The sequence below is a fragment of the Homo sapiens genome, chromosome 13 (assembly GCF_000001405.40).
Source record: "Homo sapiens chromosome 13, GRCh38.p14 Primary Assembly".
In the NCBI taxonomy this organism is placed as follows: Eukaryota; Metazoa; Chordata; class Mammalia; order Primates; family Hominidae; genus Homo; species Homo sapiens.
This window is the reverse complement of record NC_000013.11, coordinates 60,092,239-60,113,890: the sequence shown is the minus strand read 5'-3', so window position 1 is coordinate 60,113,890 and position 21,652 is coordinate 60,092,239. Positions and strand designations below refer to the sequence as shown.

Genomic DNA, 21,652 nt, shown 5'->3' with positions numbered 1-21,652 from the left:
GTAGGTGGGTGTAGACTTGCCAAATGGCTGGGGCTTCATGTGGGGCTCCTTGAAATTCTAATGCCAGCACCCATGCAGCTATCAATATTTCCTTAAATATTTGGCTGGCTTTTCTTTACCCTTGTTTAACTTATTCTTCTTCCTCAACTGTTTGTCAGGGATAAGAGCAGCTTGTCATTTTCTGGTATTTGATTCTTGTAGATTTCTTTGGGTCTTCAGTTTTCTGTTGGGTTGACGACAACAGCAAGTATAACTTTATACGTTTTCTGGTTTGTTTTGGTGGTTAGAATGAGAGCAGTGGTGTTTTATGACAACTTTCTAAATCCTACAGAAAGCTGTCGTATTCTTAGTACTTTAATGTTTAAGTGATGTTAGGTGGACCATGGGTGAGTGCAGTACATAGTATTTTTCCTAGACATTATCTTCATAGTAAATTTAGAAACCTATTTTGAAAGATAATACTTATCTTTACATCTCATTATTTGAAGAAATCCTATTTCTTTAGTGAATTGAATAAACAATACTGTGACTTAATTGTCCTTTTGAATTGAACCTTTGAGGTATCAGACGTTTTTAATGGCTATACCAGCTCTGTCCATTAAAACTTTTTGCAATGATGGAAATGTTCTATATGTATTAGTATGCTGGCCACATGTGGCTCTTGAGCACTTGAAATGTAGGCTAGTCCAATGAAGGAACTGAATTTTTAATATCATTCAATTTAATTTAATAATCATACATAGCTAGTGGCTACCATAATGAATAGTACAGGTTTATATACAGTATACGTGGTGAGAACAGTAGCTTAAAAATGTATACAACAATGATAAAAAAAAACTCATGGAATCACTGTGCTGTTTGAGTATACTTCTATTCTTGATGCCTGGTTCAGCTTAAGACTTTTTGCATTTTTGATTGTTGAAACATTGTATTAGTCATGAAATGTATGAGTCTGGGTTCTTTGTGAGCAATATAACTTGTGAAATTCAAACAATTTTGAATAAATGAATAATTAGCTTTGTAAACTAATATCTATGCTTTTTTGAATGTCAGCAAGCTATTTGATTATCTAGTTGTAGAAGAAATTTCATTGCAACAAAAATCTAGGTTTATTTCTTAAGGCCTTAACCATTTTGCCCTGTAGATATTCAAGAAGTTCACATACAGACCAGCCTGAACAAAGATAAATAGTTTATCAGGCCACTAAGCTATGAAGATATAAGTAGAATTCAATTCCTAAAAATTCCTAAATCATGTTCCCCTCCCACCCCCACTCCGAGAGACAGGATGCATTATGGAAAGGGCAATAGGCAGAGGGGCCAGGAGGGGGTGGGAGATGGGACAGTGAGTACTAGTTTGGGACCAACACTAAATTATCTAAGTAATCTTTCTAAACTGCTTAATTTGCTAATATATAAAGCAAAGGTCACCTGTCATTAGAAGCTCAAATCTATGTGTGGTTTTAAGATTAGAAGGAATCTTTCAATGTTGTCTGAGCTCTCTTCAATCTTTAGATAGAATGGTTGCTGAAAAATTTTCACCACTCTTTATTATTATTAATTTTAAATATTCCAATGCTGAATGCCTCTTGATGAAATCACAATGATAACACGATTGGCCCTCTTTGTTTTTCTCATTTTTGAGATGAGATAAATGTTGGGAAAGGAAATACTTACACGTGTGTCATTCTGTCTTTCTTTGTAGCTGGACAAATTTGCCAGCATAAGAATTCCAGGGAGCAAGAAAGAGAGACCTCCACTTCCCAACCTGAAGACTGCATTTGCAAGCAGTGATTGCTCAGCAGCACCTTTAGAGATGATGGAGAACTTTCCAAAGCCACTGTCAGAGAATGAACTCTTAGAACTTTTTGAAAAAATGATGGTAAGAATTTTGATTCTTTAGGAAATGTTTGAGGAAAAAGCCTTAGCTTTTGCTCATGTTAATGGAACTCTAAGCATTTTTGGTAGTCATACTCCATAGGCTAATTTCTGATGTCACTTAAGATAGCACTTCAGCCACAAAGAGTTTTTGGATTACAAAAATATGAAATCTGAAGAAAAACAACATACCAGGTTTTGGTTTTGTAAAGAGTATGTGAAAACAAATACTCCAAAGTATCGAACGGTATATTTTTGTCTTGAGTAGATATTTAAGTCAGCGGTCCCCAACCTTTTTGGCACCAGGGACTGATTTTATGGAAGACAATTTTTCCATGAGCGTTTGGGGGGTGGTGGAGATGATTTTGGAATGAAACTGTTCCACCTCACATCATCAGGCATTAGTTAGATGCTCATAAGAAGCGTGCACAGTTCACCATGGAGTTTGTGCTCCTTTGAGAATGTAATGCCACTGCTGATCTGACAAGAGGCGGAGCTCAGCTGGTAATGCTGGCTGGCCTGCCACTCATCTCCTGCTGTGTGGCCCAGTTGCTAACGGGGTTGGGGACCCCTGATCTAAGTGGTCTGAGTCCAGTCCATGTTAAAATGACAGTCACTGTGCTCTACTGTTTGCATTGTTATGGGCTGGATCTTAGACCTAACTTGTTTTATTCTTTTCTTAGTTTTTAGGATAAACAGGTTCTTTTTGCAACACTTAGATCTGTGGAGACTTGAACTCACTTTCTACGTCTTTTTCTGGATGCCTAACCTTTTTCTGGTTAGCCTTTGCCTCTGTTAATGAGGCCTATATGAAGGTAACTCTCTTCAGTACTATCTTTGAGGACTCAAGATCGTAAAGTGCACTTTTCTCCCATCCGTGCACTATATATCGAACCACTCACCTAGGTTATCCATCCATGAGATTTCAGGATGACACTTTTATGGTTCACTTGTGGCTACTAAGTTAAAAAATTTCATCATAATTGAGGGTGCCATCTGAGTAAGTGGACTAAGTAGCCCATTGATGTTAAACATTTATGGAGGCCACATTTTATTTCCACAAGTTAAAAGTACAACTACCTAGAAAGTACTGAATATAGTTTATGTTAGTTTTCTGTTACTCGTAGCTGGGAGGGGGCTAATACTATATATTTTAATATTATTTAGAGGTCAGATGAATATCAGCATTTTTGAAATATTTACAGAATACTTTTAAAATAACTGGGCCAGATCACTTTTTCACCCTTAAGCAGGTCTACCTATTGGCATTAGATTTTGGTGATCAAACCCTCACTGGAGTAACTCAGCAGAAATAAAATGAAATTGTTGCCTTCTCAGGGCTGTCCAATTTGCTAAGGGATGAGACAATTACAACTAAGCCCTTTTTAAAAAATAAGAAACAGATTCTTTCTTTCCCTTACTGATTCCTTGAGTATACTACAGTACTCTGTAGGGAAAAACTGCTATTGATTCTGAAGCTGAAAGGCTTTTGAAGGGTGTTGTTGCCTTCTTTAAATGTGGATTAGGATATTTTTCAAACTTCTCAGGGTACCATATTTTTGACAAATTTAGAGCTATTTCTATGTCTGTGGAGAATGCTAGATTTAAACTGGCTTGATTTTTGGCTTGTACGTATCTGTTACATTTTTATTAATAAGAATTCTCTTGAGAAAGCAACATTGAATAATCAGCCATGGTAACCTTTTGGCATTTGTACCTACAGAGGCTTTATACTATTTAAAGTTTGCATCTAGGTTCTTTGCTTTGGCATTGTGCAATTTTTACAATGATTGTTCTTATTTATCATTATCAAAGGTATTTAGTAATTTTTACATGAAGTAACAACTTTGTTTTGAAGAACACCTCTTTTCCCTCCTCAAGACAGTCCTTTGAAAGACTGTGCTGACTTGATTACTTAATGAATGTGAAGTACAGTGTAATAACTTCAACATTCATACTCATTTCACTTGGGAAATTGATTTACTTGGTCTCTGGGTAATAGTCTAGTTTCTGTGTGCATTCTTAAAAGTGGTGTTGAATTTTTAGTTATACTTAAAGACTTTTCCCCCCGTTTGTCTTTTGGTGAAAGCTGAAATTCTAGCTGAAAGCCCATATTGGTTTCTGTATGACTATTAGATACGTGAAATAGTTGTGTTCATCACTACATTTACAACTTACGTTTCTGAAGTCAATTTCAGTGATTACTCCTGAACTCTTAGATACCTGTAAGTAGTGTTTTTTGAACAAGGTGAACATGATAGGTGTAAGTTGGAAGTGGCTAGTTTATTCCAGCTGTTGCACCTTTAAATCAGCCCTCTGAGCTTATTTTTCTTCTGATCCTGGTTAAAAGTCCCAGGTAGGTTCCAGAGATTTCCTGTTGGTTTCAGATAATACAAACCCTAGCTTAATATAAATTAATTTTCACCCAAAGAAAGCTGCTCCTTTTCCCTTGTTCAAGCTTGTTCCATTTCTAGTCTCCAGTAGGGGCAGTTGTTGGGGATGTGGTTGGCCTCTTTTCCTCCATCTTGCTTTTCCATTCTTCCCTATTCTCTGGACTGAATTTGTCTCTTCCAAGACTAGATTGGGGTCGGGGGAGGGAAGGAATGAGCACTTGCTGGCCTAAGGTATCTATTGGTTTCCTAGAGTGTTGTATTAGTTTCCTATTGCTGCCGTAACAAATTACCACGGACTTTGTGATTTAAAGCAACACACATTTATTATAGTTCTGTAAGTGAGAAATCCTGGTCGGCTTGACTGGTTCTGTGGCAGTCACACACCGTGTGAAAGAAGTGTGTGTCTCTGTGACACACACTTCACTTTTCCTAATTTTCCTTCTCTCTGGCCAGTTTTTTCCAGTTTACTCTCCATATCCTTCTATGTGTTCTTTTACTTCCTCTCAGTGTTGCCTCTGCCTGTCAGTCTTATCTTTATACACTTGAGTTTTCTGCGTACTCCTTTTGGGAGACTTGAGCCCTTTCATGGAGAATATCTTTTATATTGTGACACCTTGGTATGTCTTCTACAGAAGAGCAGTTATAATCCAGCTCTCTAAAAGATGCTGAACCTCAACACATCAGAAAGTGAACTCATCATATTTCCTAAATACACACACACCTCCCCCCAACACACACACCCACTCACCAAAATTTCTGCTTCACTCTTAATTTCTTATCTCAGAAGTCCCCACTGAAGTCATACTTGGGAGTCATAGTTGATCTCATTAAGGCATCAGTCACATCCATTTACTTCTCTATCTTCATTAGCTCTTAAGTTTATTTCCCCCCTGCTTTAGTTCAAGCTTTCATGACCTCTTATCTAGGATACTGCAGTGTTCTCTGCCATTTATCTCCCTCCATGCCTCTGTTAGAGACTTCTTATACTTCATTTTTTAATTTTTATTTTTTTTTCGAGACGGAGTCTTGCTGTGTCACCCAGGCTGGAGTGCAGTGGCATGATCTTGGCTTATTGCAACTTCTGTCTCCCGGGTTCAAGCAATCCCTGCTTCAGCCTCCTGAGTAGCAGGGACTACAGGCACATACCACCATGCCAGCTAATTTTTGTATTTTTGGTAGAGATGTGGTTTCACCATGTTGGCCAGGCTGGTCTCGAATTCCTGACCTCAAGTGATCCACCCGCTTCAGCCTCCCAAAGTGCTGGGATTACAGATGTGAGCCACCGTGCCTGGCCTTATACATACTTTAAATCTTAGTTTAAACATTAGTTTTCTTTAATTATCTTCACATGTGCTGAGTTAAGGATTCCTTAAACCTGCCTCTCAAAACTGCTTATGAGTCTATTGTGAAATTCATTCTTTTTTTTTACTTTTCACTTTTTAGATATCTGTCTTCCCATTAGATTATATCCATGCAGTATCATCCATTGGTTTATCATTCCAAACAAATGTCTGTTAAGTGCAGCTTCCTAACTTAAGATTTCTAGGATACTATATTTCTCTTCACCTTAGACACTATACTTAGATGGAGATTAGCTTTAATTGCTAGTCAGCCCAATAACACAAAAACATTAAAATAATGAATGGAAGATAGCTTTTTTCATGCATTCATACCTTTTCTTATTTTCACTATCGGTTGAGAGAATGAAAGCTATGCAAGAAAGCTCATCTATCAGAATGCTATCATTAACAGGCATTAAATGAGTTCCAATGATACCAAAATCATTCTGACAAAAATTATTTAAATTCTGGACTTCCTGTCTAGAATTGTTGTAAGTGTAGAAAAAATGACCTGATAAAATTGCACGAAGTACTTAAGTATGAATAGTGATGTTCTATTCTTTTACTGGGAAGATGTTTATCAGGCTTTTTTGTAATGTAGGAGAAAGCACATTTATAAAATGCCATCGTCATCTCTTAAGCGTATGTTTGAAGTATGTCCTGGTAGTAAGAACTTAGATGACCTACTATTTAATACATACATTGGCTTTTCAGTGTGGGAAACCTGGTTTAGATAATACCAAAGGCATTAATATTTGACTTTGAAACAATTTTCTGTGTATAACATAGAGTGGAATCTAATTTTGTCCTGCAGTGTTTTTTTTAAATTATACAGTATTTCAGGCATACAAAAAGTATAGAACATAATATAAAAAATACCACCACGGATATAAGTGAAATCCCTTGTGTAATTCTTCTAATTCCCGCTTTTATCTTCTTTTTTTCCCTGAGGTTAACAGTACCCTGAATCCAATAGTTTTGCTCCCATACACTGAAGAAACTTTCCTTTTTTTTTTCTGTCTGTATAAGAATACAGTTATACGGAACAAAACCTTTTTTCTTCTGAGATATTTGATGGTAAATTGCTGATTCAATGCCCCATAATCCTGTAATACTTCAGTGTATGTTTTCCACAAGTAAGGACTTCCTTCTATATGACCACAATATAGCCACCAAAATCAGAAAGTTAACACTGATCAATTTCTACCTCACACACTATTAAAGTTTTACCAATAGTACCAATATCCTCTTTATAGCAAAAGAATCTAGTTCAGAATCATATGTTGCATTCAGTTATGTTTTTAAAATCTTCTTCAGTCTGGAATAGTTCGTATGTTTCCTTGTATTTTATGAATTTGAAAGTTTTGAAGATTGCAGGCTGGTTAATTTGTAGAACATCCCTGTTTGCATTAGTATTAGACTTTTTAAGTTTTGCAAGTAAACAAATGTAAACAGCATATCTCATACTAAAGGATTTATATTTTTCTGATTATAAATGTGTCCGAACATCTTTTCACATGCTTATTGGCCCTTTGCTTTACTCTTCTGTGAATTTTCTGTTTATATTTTTGCCCATTTTGTTGTTTGAGATTTCCGTCTTTTTCATATTGATTTGTAGAATTTCCCATATAGCCAGAATAATACTCATGTGTTCAGTTTATATGTGTTGCAAATATCTTGTCCTAGACCGAGTCTTGTCTTTTTACTTTTGTTAGCGGGAAAGGGGAGCTGAAGTACAAAAATGTAAAATTGTGGTCAGATTTATCAAACTTTTTATGGTTTGTCCTTTTTGTATATTATTGAAGAAATCTATCCTGACATCATAAATCTATTCTCCTATATTTTCATTTAAAATTATTAGAAATATATATCTCTATGCCTGATGTGAGATGTGGATCCAATTTTTTTCCACATAGTTTTTCCAGCAGCATTTATTTGAATAGTTCATTCTTTTTTATGATTTGTAATATCTCTAATGTTATAGATCAAGTTTGTGCACATGTGGGTTTGTTTCTGAGGTTTGATTTTTGTCCATCAGTTCGTTTGTCTAGTTCTGCATTTACGTCTGTTGTCTTAGTCACCACAACTGTATAATAAACCTTAATATCTAAGAGCTGTTTTTCCAGAGGAGAAAAGAAGGGCTCAGGTGAACCGATAAAAATCAGATGTGACCATGTTCTTTTGATATTTTTGGTATAGAGGTGGGGAGGGTTCATCTTGCTAAGCTTATTCCATATTGCCACTCTTAGGGTACATACTAATGACAATTTTTCTTTCTTTATTCTCTTTAATTCTTGGTGTTAAAGATTTATGCATAGCTATTACTTTGGTCAAATAAATGAATTTTGTGTTGAGTGTGCAAGGAATATCTTAAGGGTCAACCAAGAGTCTGAATGAAAAGAAAAACCAACAAAGACCCCTTTGTGTTAATTCTCTTAAGTGTTTATTGACTGCTATAGATTCCTACCAGCAGCTTATTTCAAGTATTAGTATTCTTTACAAATCTACTTTCCTATATCGTGAACATTTTCTATTTCTTACAATCTAAAAAAGTGTATTAAGGCTTGACTAGATAAAATGAGAGAGGTTCTGTGGGAATGCTTTGTTCTGATTTATTACTTGTCACTCTTTTCCCTCTCCATTGGGTAGAAATTGAAAAATTCAGGGAAAGGTGGTTTAAAAGCAATCCAAATAATGAAGAGGAAGAGGGAGAGAGTATAGTAGTTCAAGGCAATTATCAAGTTGATTCATGGGTTGTGTTTGTCAGGGGGATAATGTCAGTGTTTAGTTGTTTCTTCTAGATCCAGATAAATGAGAAAATAAATGATTTAGGTGTACTGGATTTTGCCTGGTGGGATTTTGTAGCACCAATAAAATGGTTAGAGGGAGGAATTTTAAAGGGGTAAATGTTATGGTAATATTTCAGCATGCTGTTTTGCCAGTTAGGAGCTGTGCAGGCAATTATTTGTGTATACCTGTGAAGGCCTTTTCTCAGTCATATTTTCTTCTGTAGAAAAGGTGGCCTTAAGAAAAAAGTTGTATCTTAAGTCAAATGACCATTTTATCCTTTATGTAAATGTATGAAGAAATTGTCATTTACTTAGAAAAGTTGAAAAACAAATATATGAATGAAAATCCTTTTTCATCACTGGCAGTTTTTTTTTTTTTTTTTTTTTTTTTTGAGATCGTGTCTCACTTTGTCGCCCAGGCTGGATGGAGTATAGTGGCGCAATCTCAGCTCACTGCAAGCTCTGCCTCCTGGGTTCACGCCGTTCTCCTGCCTCAGCCTCCCGAGTAGCTGGGACTACAGGTGCCCGCCACCACTCCCAGCTAATTTTTTTGTATTTTTAGCAGAGACGGGGTTTCACCGTGTTAGCCAGGATGGTCTCGATCTCCTGACCTCGTGAACGAACCGCCTGCCTCGGCCTCCCAAAGTGCTGGGATTACTGGCGTGAGCCACCGCGCCTGGCCAATCACTGGCAGTGTTCTTATCTGCAGGATTACACAGCAGTTGTTTGTGATTGTAGGTGCTTATGCATACACTTGAACAATTCTGGCAAGGTTACATTCCAGAATAAATTAGAGTTGTGCAGCTTTCTGAATATTCAGCTCTCTTCTTGTCTGTTCTGCTAAAATTTACAGTATATGAAAGAAAAGTGATATTTAAATTTCTTTTTTTCTCATCGTGTGTGTGTGTGTGTGTGTGTGTGTGTGCCTTGATACTGCATTAGGATAAACTGAAATTTGTTTTTCAATTAAGATAGTTTACACTCTTCCCATATTCTCCAGTTAGAATATTTGGCCAAAAAATAGTGTTTATGAGTTCATTATCAGTCTCTGGGTAAATGTCATTCTTTGGCTGCTGTTCTATTAATGAGCTAGCCATCTGACTTTCTTTTAATTTTAATGGGAATTGAGTAATCCAGTGTCTACTGGATAGTACAGTGGAAATTCAACCCCACTATTGGTAAAACCAAAAAATATAACTTTTAAATAATCATATTTCTGTTAAAAATGATTATTTAAAGGTTTATATAAGGACATAGTAAAGCTGATAGGCAAAATATTTTATAGCTGTTTTAAGCTATTTTATAGCTTCAATGTATTTATAGACATCTTGAATATAGAAAAGTAGTAATAAAGTTAATTCTAAGTTCCAGGTTCTTGGTAGTATTTATCTTTTAGTTTTCTAATTATGTCTAAACCCAATAAAATTTATTAAATTGCAGAACTAGATAAGATTCATTTAGTCTGCCCTGTTCAACAGTGTATAATGACCTTGAATGAGGTCATGAAATCTTCTGTTTTTTTTTATTTGGCACTAAGCCATTCATGGTAGTAAAAACCTTAGTGTAATGAAAAGCTTGACCGTTTGATATTGTGTGATGTCAAAGATGAATTCAAATGTAGTTAAGAACAGAATTACACTTTTAGCAGAACTCTGGATAAAATTGTGCTTATATGATGTTGAGCTCTGTCACAAGAGAGGGAATTAGGGGATCTTTGTGGACCTCTTAAGATGCTTAACCAATTTGTGGCTTTAATAATATAATGCTGGCAAAACAGAGACTGCTACCAAGAATAATTATGTTGGCTTTAACCCCTAAAACAAAACATAATGTTATTGAAATTAGATGATTGCTGTTGACTTAATAGGAATAAATGTTTGGTTTTGCTATTGCAGTGCTTCTAATTTTTATTTTCCAATATTATGCTTATTGGTCCATTATAATACTGTATTTCCCATATCCATTTTGTAATGCTAGTCATGCTCTGCCTGTCTGTAGTGTTTTTCCTTTTTGGTTGAATATCCTTCCACCTGACCATCTTCAGCAACTTGCTGCTTGTATATATTCACTTAATTCTGCAAATAGTCAATCATTTTAAATTTAATCTGACTCTCTGTGGTGTTAACTGTCCCGCTCAACTTGATGTATGTAAATTTAATGAGCATGCTGTCTTGCAAAATCCACAGCCATGAATGAAAATATTGAGTCTAACGTGTGTAATTCAGTTGGAAAAATGTCCACTCTCTCATTGCTGTTCTCTGCTTGATTGTGCCTTAGTGCTCCAACGAGTTGCATGTGTGTGCACAGGTACTAAGTTACATATTTCCCCCCCACCTCGGTTTTGCTAATAAAATGTGAAAAATATTTATTTGGTACTATTTTTAAAAAATCAGTCTAGTAGGGAGTTAGGGTCCCTAAAAACAGTAGCAAACTGGCAATTTGCTGGTGTGTGGGAACTTCTGGCCCCATGCAACTTGTAGGAAGACTCTTTGGGAATATCTTAAAAGTTGCTTGATTGACCTGGTTTCCAGGTAAGGGCTGCCGCTGACTAATTTGGTGTCCTTGTGCAAGTTACAGAATAGGTGTATGCTTTCATTCTGGATGGACACAGCACCACACAAGGTCACAAGTTTGGAAGTTTGGAATAGATGATGAAGTGAGTCTGGAAGGGACCTTGACCCCATTCATTCCTCAACCAGGTACTACTTGGCAGGGGTCAGTCGTTATATTGACTCTGTTCTAGGTCACTGAGGTTTAGTGTGGGTCTGCTAGTGTTCTCTGAAAAAGTGATGGATTTTAGCTTGGCCATCTTTGTGTCAGTGCCACGACCTGAAGATTTCTACCTCCAGAGTTGGAACTTATTCCCGTAACTGTTATCTGAAGATTCTTGAGAATCTTCTTAGGAGCAGCAATTGCTCAGTGTTCTAGTCTGGGGCTGTATCATCTCCAGCTTCAGTTCCATCTCCCAGAAGCTTACCTGCATCTCATGTTTGTCCTAAAATAGGATGAGCAAATTCTATTTGAGAACTTTTCTGACATCTTCTTTATTTAGCAAATATTTAAAAAGTGACCATTATGTTCCATGCACGGTGAAAGAGGCAGCAAGTATAGAAATATTTCTATTAAATGTTATCGGTGAGGGAGAAAAGAGTTACATATAAAGAGCCAGAGTTGAGGGAAGTTTTTTTGTTTAATTTTAATCCATTAAAGATTAACTTGCTTACATATTGATACTCAACCAACTGAGAGAATTTAGTGAAATAAAATAGAAGAGGATAATCGATGTGTAATGCCCTTTCTTGAGGTGGGAGGAAAAGGGATCTCGAGCATAAATGAATAGGAATGTCTTTGGATAAATGCATTGGTTGGGTAGGGAAAGATAGTAGTGTGCAAATAAAATGGTAAAACAGCAGAAAATGGAATTATAGCTTTCTTTTCATATAGGGAATTGAAATTTATTTACTGAGGGTGATAGGCAGAAGTAGTAGTTTCACAGTTCCTGAAAATAGCTAAGGTTTGAAATAAGTACCATATGAAATGTGAAAAGAGAGAGACTAGTAAGATTTGCCATAAATGTTGTAAGAATTGATGAATCAACAGTGGCCTGCATTGGAAGAAAATGGAAGGGTCAAGAAACTGGAGGTTTTTACTGGGGCCAAGAAAAAGATGGTTTGGGAGTGGGAGAAGTGGCAAGATGGAAGATTGAGGTCAGAGATAAGGATTATGGAGATTCTGATGATGCCTGTGGTGGACAGGTTTTAGATAATGAAAAGGTCCAGGTGTGGTCATTAGGACTGTAGCTGAGGACAGTGGAAGTGAAGCTTGCATTGGCAAGGAAGCCAAGGACACTCTAGGGCAGGGGTGCCCAATCTTTTGGCTTCCCTGGGCCACATTGGAAGAAGACTTGTCTTGGACCGCAACTAAAATACACTAACACTTTTGATAGCTGATGAGCTAAAAAAAAAAAAAAGAAATCGCAAAAATATCTCATGGTGGTTTAAGAAAGTGGTTTGAATTTATGTTGGGCCACATTCAGAACCGTCCTGGGTGCAATCTGGACAAGCTTGCTTTAGGGCCATTGTGGGTGATAGCAAGGTGTGGAGTGTCAGAGGAATCAACCCAAGTTGATGGCAGTGGAAGTGTTCAGTCAGATGTTACTAGCCCCAAGGAAATCGGACTTTAGATGATAACATAGATAAATAATATGGAAATAAGAATGAGGGAGATGAGATAGAACAGAGTTTAAATCTAAGTTAAAGAACCATGGTCAACTTACAGAATTTTCCTAAACCTCAGCTCTCTCCTCAATAAAGAGGACATACCTCAAGTTACTGAGGATTAATTAAGTAATGCTTATGAATGTTTAGCACAGTGCCTGGCTCAAGAATTTGACCATAGTTTAAGATTACAGGAGTACTAGAGGTCTTTGTAAAATGGTTCTGGGAGAATGGGTGAGAAGGTCAGTGCATAGAGCAGGTTTGGAATGAAAATAGGAGGAAATGTAAACAGTTGGAGAAGTTTGTGTTTTGAATGGAATTCTGTTACCTGTGTCTGACCTACTTAACCCTTCCTCTCAGGACCCTTGGATTTGTCTTGATTGTGGTTTCCTTAGTCTCCTTTCCTCCCTCAATTCAGTGTGTATTTACTATAGCCGAATATTCTACAAACCTCTTCTTTTTATTTAGGGGATATAAAAAAACTTCTTTTTTTTTTTAATAATGATGTTCTGTTTTTCTTTTTTTACCCCAAGTTATTTATAAAAAGTTCTATTAAAATATTTCAATTTAGTCTTTTAAAATAACTCTTTATTTTGAAATAATTTTAGACTTATAGAAGAATTGCAAAAATAGTATAGAGAATTCTTGTATACCTTTCACCAAACTACCTCTAATGTTTACATCTTATATAACATTAGTACAATTATTAAAACTAAGAATTGAATACTGAGACGATATTGCTAACTAAACTACAGACTTGCTTCAGATTTTGCCAGCTTTCCCACCCATGTCTTTTTTTTCTTCCAGGATCTAATCCAGGATCACATCTTGCATTTATTTGTCATGTCTCTTCCAGTCAATGACAGTTCCTTATCTTTTATGAGCTTGATACTTTTGAAAAGTTATGGTTAGTTATTTTGTAGGGTGCTCTCAATTTGGGTTTGCCTGACTTTTTTTTTCCTTGTGATTAGATTGAGATCTATTTTGGGATAAATACCACAGAGGTGATCAGCCTTCTCATTATATCATAGCTGGAGGTTTGAAATATCAATATGTCCTATTATTTGTGGTGTTAGCCTGGACAACTTTGTTAAGGTGGCATCTGCCAGCTTCTTCCCTTGTAAAGTTAGTATTTCCCCTCTATAATTAAGGAGAAAAAGGATATCTGCACAGTCTTAAAGTATCTCCTCAATTTATTTTGCTTTTTAGGTTATAATCTAATACTATCATTTTATTTTTCAAATTGTTCTAGTTTTGGCCACTTAACAGCTCTTTCAGTTTGGCTCATGTCCTTTTGACTTTCCTTCCTTCCTTCCTTCCTTCCTTCCTTCCTTCCTTCCTTCCTTCCTTCCTTCCTTCCTTCCTTCTCTTACTTTCTGGTACCACATTAATTTGGTCTTTTTAATTCTAGTCTTTTTGGATGACATAGCTGTGTTCCCACGTATTGAATGAAAAAAAAAGCTTTCCAAGTATTGTACTTCTGAAATCTGTTCCTAGTGCTAGTCAGATCAGCACAGTGATTCTGTTTAGATATAGATTTTAATTAGAAAGTAATTGGCCAAAGGGAAACTATTTTTTTTGCTGTTGCAACTCGGTTTCCCCTGGCAAGCCGAGAGTGGTCCCCAACATATAGTGGTTCGATTTAACGATTTTTCGACTTTACAGTGGTGAAAGCAACATGCATTCGGTAGAGACTGTACTTTGAATTTTGATCTTTTTCCTGGGCTAGCTATATGCAGTTTGACACTCTCTTGTGACGTGGGGCAGCAACTGAGAGCTGCAGCTCCCCTGTCAGCCATGCAATCATTAGGCTGAACAACTGACTGTACTGTGTCCCCAGCATTTTTTGGATATTGTGCTTTGTGTTTTCGCATCCCACCATGTCTACAAAATGTGCATCTGTGTATTCAAAATGTTATTATAAAATAGCATTTGTGTTAGATTATTTTGTCCAACTGTAGGCCAATGTAAGTGTTCTGAGGATGTTTAAGGGAGGCTAGGCTGAGCTGTGACATGCAGTAGGTTAGGTGTATTAAATGCATTTCTGCATTTCAATTTTTAATGGCTTTTTTGGGACATAACCCCATTGTAAGTTGAGCATCTGTATATTAAGGAGTACTATGAATGAGATAATTCATAATGTATATTACTAACATATTAATAGAACTTTTTAATAGAACTTTAACATCAAAAACAATAATATGCTCTTCAGAGAGATTAAAATTTTGAATAGGTGACTTGGCAAATGATGTTTTTGAGTGTGATATATTCAGCCCAATAGCCAGTTGATAAGATTTTTCCATTTAAAGGGTAGAGATTTATTTCATATATCCATGGAAATTTTAACCTCATTCAGATTACTCACTGAGCCTTATGTATTTATGTTTACTTTGTATTTCCTGTTCAGTATTTTACCTATAATAGATATTTAATGAGATACGTACATATATCAGCATACTGATATATTGAGGTAAACAGCCATTTTAGAGCCGTTTTACAATCTGTGTCTGCAGTGTCATTTTGTACCTATGTAGTGTGGTAGCACAGTAAAGCAGCATGTTTTACTGACCTGTGTTTGAATGGAAGGAGGAGTTAATACACAATAGTTTATATTGCCTTTTTTTTTAAGGTCAGCTATATGTGTTTCTATATTTATTCTGTTCAATTTATTCTGTTCAATTTGTTTCTATATTTATTCTTTCAATTTGAAAGAAGTCTTATTTTAATATCAAGTAAATTATTTTCAGATGGTATAGTAGGTACTTTTAGTACCCCCTCCCAGCTCCTTTTTACCAGGCTGGTGCACCCATGCCCCAGGTGATGAGTGTTGGCTTCTAATAGCTTATAGATGCCCCTTTCTCCAGAGATTTGCCCTCATCAGAACTAGGATTCTGCAGCTGATGACTAACTTGAGGTTGTTGAGGCTGGTTTCTGCTACCAGGCTATCCTGACTGTGGTGCATCTCAGGGTGAAGTGAGAATCCACCAGAGGCCACCTTTAGTATGTCTTTTTTCCTCTTTTGTCTTACCTCCTTTACTTTCTTATCCTGAGAGCAGCCCCACCTGCACCTGAATCCCTGTTTCAGGCTCTGCTTTTAAGGGAAACTGACCTTAGATAATGGAGATACAACATGATAATTTTGAGGAAATATAAACTAAGAAACATAAAAAATGATAACTTGCTCACTTCTCCCCCACTGACCTTCACCAAGTCCAGTTTCTTAGATAGCCTTGGGAGATGCTTCACCCTTCTGGAATTGCAACATAAAATATGGATATGCATTTTTTAGGAAAAAAAGCTCCCAATAAATTTTCTAAGGACTTCGTGACCCCCAGAAGTTAAGTGCCACTGCCTCATGGAGTTTTCTTCTTTCAGCCTTGTTTTCCATAAATAGAAATTCAAAATATATTCTAATAATACCATACCCCTCATGCTTTCATGCATATTTTCTCTCTACTGCCCCCTTATTTCTCTCTCTCTCTCTCTTTTTTTTTTTCTTTTTTAAAGGGCAGAGCTTTTCTTACGCTTTCAAATGCCATTTCCTCCTGGAAATATGGAGGATGACCTGTTAGATGAAGTTACATGCCTAGTGGGTATCCCACAAAAGTTTAGGGTGTTATGTAGTTGATTCCAAACTTTTGTATTGTTGTCTTAGTCCATTTTTATGTTGCCATAAAGGAATACCTGAGGCTGAATAATTTAAAAAAGAGGTTTATTTGGCTGTCAGTTCTGCAAGCTGTACAAGAAGCATGGGACCAGCATCTGCTTTTGGTGAGGGCCTCAGGGAGCTTCCACTCATGATGAAAGACAAGAAAAAGCTGGTGTGTGCAGAGATCACATGGTGAGAGAGGAGGCAAGGGAGAAGGTGGTGGGGAGGTTCCAAACTCTTATAAACAGCCTGCTCTCATGGGAATTAATAGGGCAAGAACTCAATCGCCCCCACCCCAGGAAGGTCATTAATCTATTCATGAGGGAGCTGCACCCATGACCCAGACACGTCCCACTAGGCCCTACTTCCAACATTGGGGATCAAATTTAAATATGAGATTTGCATGGGATAACATCCAAATTAGAGCAAGTATTATTTGTTTCCTTTTGGTTTTTTATACTAGGACTGTCATCATACTTTTGTCAGGAAGGCGAGTGCCATATTTAGGCAAAAGAGGTGGGATAAACCAGAGGAAGCAGCTGGGAGAATTTTGGGTTTCTCCCTTAATTCCAGATGTATCACTACTAGTCAGAGTTCTCCAGAGAAACAGAACCAATAGGATGCCTGCCTGTCTATATGAGAGGGGATTTATTAGGAGAACTGGCTCACATGATTATAAAGGGCAAGAAGTCCTACAGTATGCTATCTGCAAGCTGGAGAACCAGGGAAGTCAGCAGCGTGGCTCAGTTAAGGCCCCAAGTTTTCAAAACCAGGGAAGTTGTTGGTGAAACTCAGTTGGAGGCTGAGGTGGCTTTAAGGCCTGAGAACTCCAGGGAGAGTGTCACTGGGGGAAGTCCCAGGGCCCAAAGCTTGAAGAACCTGGAGTTCTGATGTCCAAGGGCAGAAGAAGTTTGTCTCAGCTCCAGAAGAGAGAGGGAGACTTAGCCTTTCTTCTGCCTTTTTGTTCTATCCAGGCTTTCAGCTGATTAGATGGTGCCTGCCCATACTGAGGGCGGATCGTCCTTACTGACTTACAGTCCAATGATTCAAGTGCCAATCTCTTCTGAAAGACGTACCTAGAGATAATGCTTTACCAGCTATGTGGGTATACTTTAAGCCAGAAGTCTAACCTAAAATTAACCATCACACCTAAAATTAACCAACCCCCAAAAATAACAATCACAACCACTTTTTTGTATGAACTGGTGTTATCATGAAGATGTCTTTCCAAAAAGAAAGCAGAGGCCTTTTTAAAAAATTCTTTCTACTACTCACCTTGAAATTTTATTTCAATTTCAGCCACAACTAAAGGGCTTTCTGTTTTTTGGTATTCTGTGTATATTAAGTATTTTAATTTACTAAAGAGACTGGGTAATGTTTGGCCATTAGCCTGAAAATAAAAATAAAGTGAATAATTTAAAACAGAATTTTCCAGTGCTCTCAGATTGCCCCACGTTTTATAACAATTATCCCCTAACTATCTCATTACTTTCTTCCAGTGAAATTCTTTGTGGATAATGTTACCTATGTTCATAAATTAAGAAAATCAATATGTCTTACTCTACTATATAATAAAATATGTATTTCAATTTAAACAATTGGCCATGACTACTCAAGAAGGTATAGTAAATTCATACTCTTGAATCTCTGCTTCATACCTCTGTGAGTACAGCAGTGGCATTGTAGATTGGTAGATTGATATAGTTGTGCTATTTTGGGGATTCAGATACCACAGACAGTATTTCCCTGGGATACCTACATTTCAGAAATGAAGCACAACTGTTGGTAAAGCTTAAAAAAAGCAGAGTGTAACTATAATTTACAGAATAGTTTGATTCTTGGAAAATTCAGTAAAGTAAAACTATGCAATACAAAGTATTTAATATGTAATAATTTTACATTTTACATCTATTTCTGGAATAGGAGACTGGCAGAACATGTTTTCTAGTCACAACCCTGCTGATCAAAACAGAAACTGGTCCAGACAGACTAAAATATTAAAAAAAAAAAACACAAAAAACAGCAATAACTGGCAAATGGGACAAAAGCAATCCCTAGCTGCCCTCATTAATTAGCATAAGACACTCTCACTAGCGCCATGACAATTTACAAATGCCATGGCAATGGCCCAGAAGTTACCACCCCTTTCCTAGAAAATTCTAAATAACCCACCCCTTAATTTACATTGACCCACCCCCTAATTTGCATATAGCTAAGTGAGTTTAAGTGAGTATAATTACAATTGCCAAGAGCCCATACATTGCTGACTCTGAGCACACTGCCTATGAGTTAGCCCTGCTCTGCAAGGAGCAGCACCATTCGATAAAAGGTTGCTGTGTAACACGACCATCTTGCCTTTGAATTCTTTCTATGATGAAGCCATGAGCCCCAAATTTGGGGCTCACCTGTCCTGCAACAGTTCCATTGAATTCGAGTCTAGGCTTAGTTAAGGATGATTCTTTCTCTCTCTCTTTTTTAGGTGTGTGAATCTCTCTGTGGGGCACAAGGTAGTTTTTACTGTACAGGTCAAACTGTGATGCTACCCCCTGTAAATGCTGGTAGCATCACCTCAATTATTGTGACAACTAACATGCCTCCAGAAGTTTCCAAAATTTCCAAAATGCTTCCTATGTCATATTAAGGCCTATTGAGCCTTCTCTCACTAGCTTAGAGAAAAAAACGAAACAAAACAAACACTTATTCACGTAACAGGATGTTTGTGTTTCTAACTAGAGCAGCAAAAGTGACATTGCCAATTACTACCTTTTATCGTAGTGTCAAATGGAACAGCTTCTAAGATCTTAAATATTTCTATCAAGGTAAAATGAAGGGAATTTTGACTTTTAAGTGCTCGAAGGGTTTGGTAGCCAAGAATTGAGTCAGCTAAAGGCATAAACTACAGCGTTTGATGAATGTAGCACCCTTATAAAATCTGTAAGAAATTTAACTTGCTAGGCTCCATAGGTGATCCAAAGTCCTGAATTTTATGGATCCATTCTGAGTAGATACGAAGTTTATATACATTCAGATATTTTACATTGCATATCACAAATGACTCAGGGCTAAGTTCACGAGGAAATTCATTTGAGCTGCCCTTCTCCTTTAGCCATTTCTGTCTTACCTCAGGCGCCCTTTCCTTTGCCAGAATAGCCTCTTACTTCAGGAGCTTAATTAAGAGCAATTCATATATTTATGTGGATATATACCTGACTTGAATTTTTAGTCAAAATTAAGCTTGTAGCAAGATCTTAGTTACTTAAACCCTTATTTTGGTTGGTGCTGTTGAGAAATGTTCGATTTTAGGTGGTAGCTGTTTTTATAAGTACAACTTTTATGTAATTTAGAACATTCAATAAATTAGTTAACATTTTTGATAAGAGTAGGGAAAAGACAAAACTATAAAGTGCTTTGTCTTTTGCTGGAACCAGTACTGGATATTTGATGTGGCTATCAGAATCTGAAAATTGGTTGGTTTATTTACCTTTTAATTTTTATGACACACAGAGCAGCTCTTTCAAAGCAGTGGAAGATAGCTTCAGGTGCAGCTGTTGTAAAAATAAATAAATATATTGAAATTGTGTGACCTTATGAATGGCAGAAATCTGCAACTGTCTAATTATCTATAGTTATGTGAATATAATTTTATTTGCCTGCTGTGAATTTTAAAAGTTCTTTTAGTAAGTGTTTTACCTGTTAAAATGATCTAGAATACTTTCTTCTCTCCCTCTCCACCTCTTTTCTCTCTCCTTCCTTCAGGCAGAACTACACGTAAATCATTCCAAAACAATTAATGCTGCTTTAGTCACAAATTATTGATTTTTCCATTTGTAGTGCATGTAGAATTGCTGCTCTACTTAGATTCTAAAATGAGGCATTTTAATTGTGTTTTCCAGGAAGATATGAATTTAAATGAAGATAAAAAGGCACCATTGCGGGAAAAGGACTTCAGTATCAAAAAAGAAATGGTGATGCAGTACATTAATACTGCTTCTAAGACAGTAAGTAAAACTGTCAAGTTGAAAAATACTGCCGAACATGTTTTAACATGGAAAACAGCACATTTATCTAATGAAGTACTTAAGTTTGTGGGCAACTGTAATCAGAGGGCTTCTGAATGTATAATTAAGGGCACAAGTATATTATACATTTGTTTAAATTAAAAATATTTCTCATCTTAAAACTTTTAAGCTGCTTCTGTTTTTTAGCTAGTTACATTGCTAAGAAACACTGGGAGGGGGTCTACTCTGTCACCTTTCCTTGTTAGTGAATTAATATAGTCATTGATTTTTAATGTCACTTATAAATCACAGTGATATCTGCATTATAGAAAAGTGAGACCGATTTTACTCTGTCTACATCAAGGTACATAATAGTGGCTTAGAAATGTCTTTAATGTGAGTCTCCCTATGAATAAAATTATCTTGTAACAAATTATAAATGTTGGTATTGAAAGGAGCATTAGGCCTCTACATGGCTGCCAATTTTCTAGAGAAACATGAAATATGTGGGTGGAAGTAATGACTAAATGTCTAAGAAACCATGACTGGCACACAGAATCAATTGCATTTATTTCATGGAAAACAAATGAGCTTGACTAGTCACATACAAATTGTGAATAAATGGATTGGATGAAAATATAAAATGGAAGCCAATGAAGAAGCAATCAGTAGAAAGACAGTGGAAAATGATTTTGGCTCAATTTACAACAGAATTGGATTAGGAAAAAGTAGCTTAACACACTAGTTTTCCTTGGGTATTTTAACCTAAGTTCAGGTTACAAGAACATAAGTTATTTATACTTTAACTCCACTTAACTGCTAGACCAGTCATTGACTCTGAGGCCTTTCTTTTGGAAGAAAGACACAAGTGATGTTTAATTTTTAAACGTGTCTCATGTTTTGGCAGCTTGCTCTTCAGGTATAGAAATCACTGTGAGTACTGTGCTTTTTTTAGCGGCACTTTTTTTTTTTCTTTTGAGACGGAGTCTCACTCTGTCGCCCAGGCTGGGGTGCAGTGGCGCCATCTCGGCTCACTGCAAGCTCCGCCTCCCGGGTTCACGCCATTCTCCTGTCTCAGCCTCCGGAGTAGCTGGGACTACAGGCGCCTGCCACCACGCCTGGAAATTTTTTGTATTTTTATTAGAGACGGGGTTTCACCGTGTTAGCCAGGATGGTCTCGATCTCCTGACCTCGTGATCCGCCCGCCTTGGCCTCCCAAAGTGCTGGGATTACAGGCGTGAGCCACTGCGCCCGGCCTTTTTTTAGCTCTCTATATAGATGGGCTCTGTATCCTGCTACTATGATACTGATACTAATTGCCTTTGTCCTTTAATGATACTTATATATCACAAATTGGTATTGGGGGTTTAAGAATCAGAGCTCTGGTGT

The 21,652-nt window shown here is 36.8% G+C and overlaps 1 protein-coding gene across 16 annotated transcripts in view; it reads left to right on the top strand.

The window, feature by feature from the left end:
• DIAPH3 (diaphanous related formin 3) overlaps nt 1-21,652 on the top strand; it is a 498,346-nt gene that overhangs the window by 50,038 nt on the left and 426,656 nt on the right. For 14 of the 16 annotated variants that reach the window (XR_002957478.1, XR_002957480.1, XR_941672.1 and 11 more), the window contains 2 exons: nt 1,705-1,881; nt 20,159-20,263. Coding sequence is in view for 11 of the 16 variants with exons in the window: in NM_001258366.2 (NP_001245295.1) it covers nt 1,705-1,881; nt 20,159-20,263 (282 nt within the window). In the remaining 5 variants the exon portion in view is untranslated. The remainder of the gene's footprint in view (nt 1-1,704; nt 1,882-20,158; nt 20,264-21,652) is intronic. The other 2 variants (NM_001258368.2, NM_001258367.2) reach the window with 2 other exon arrangements.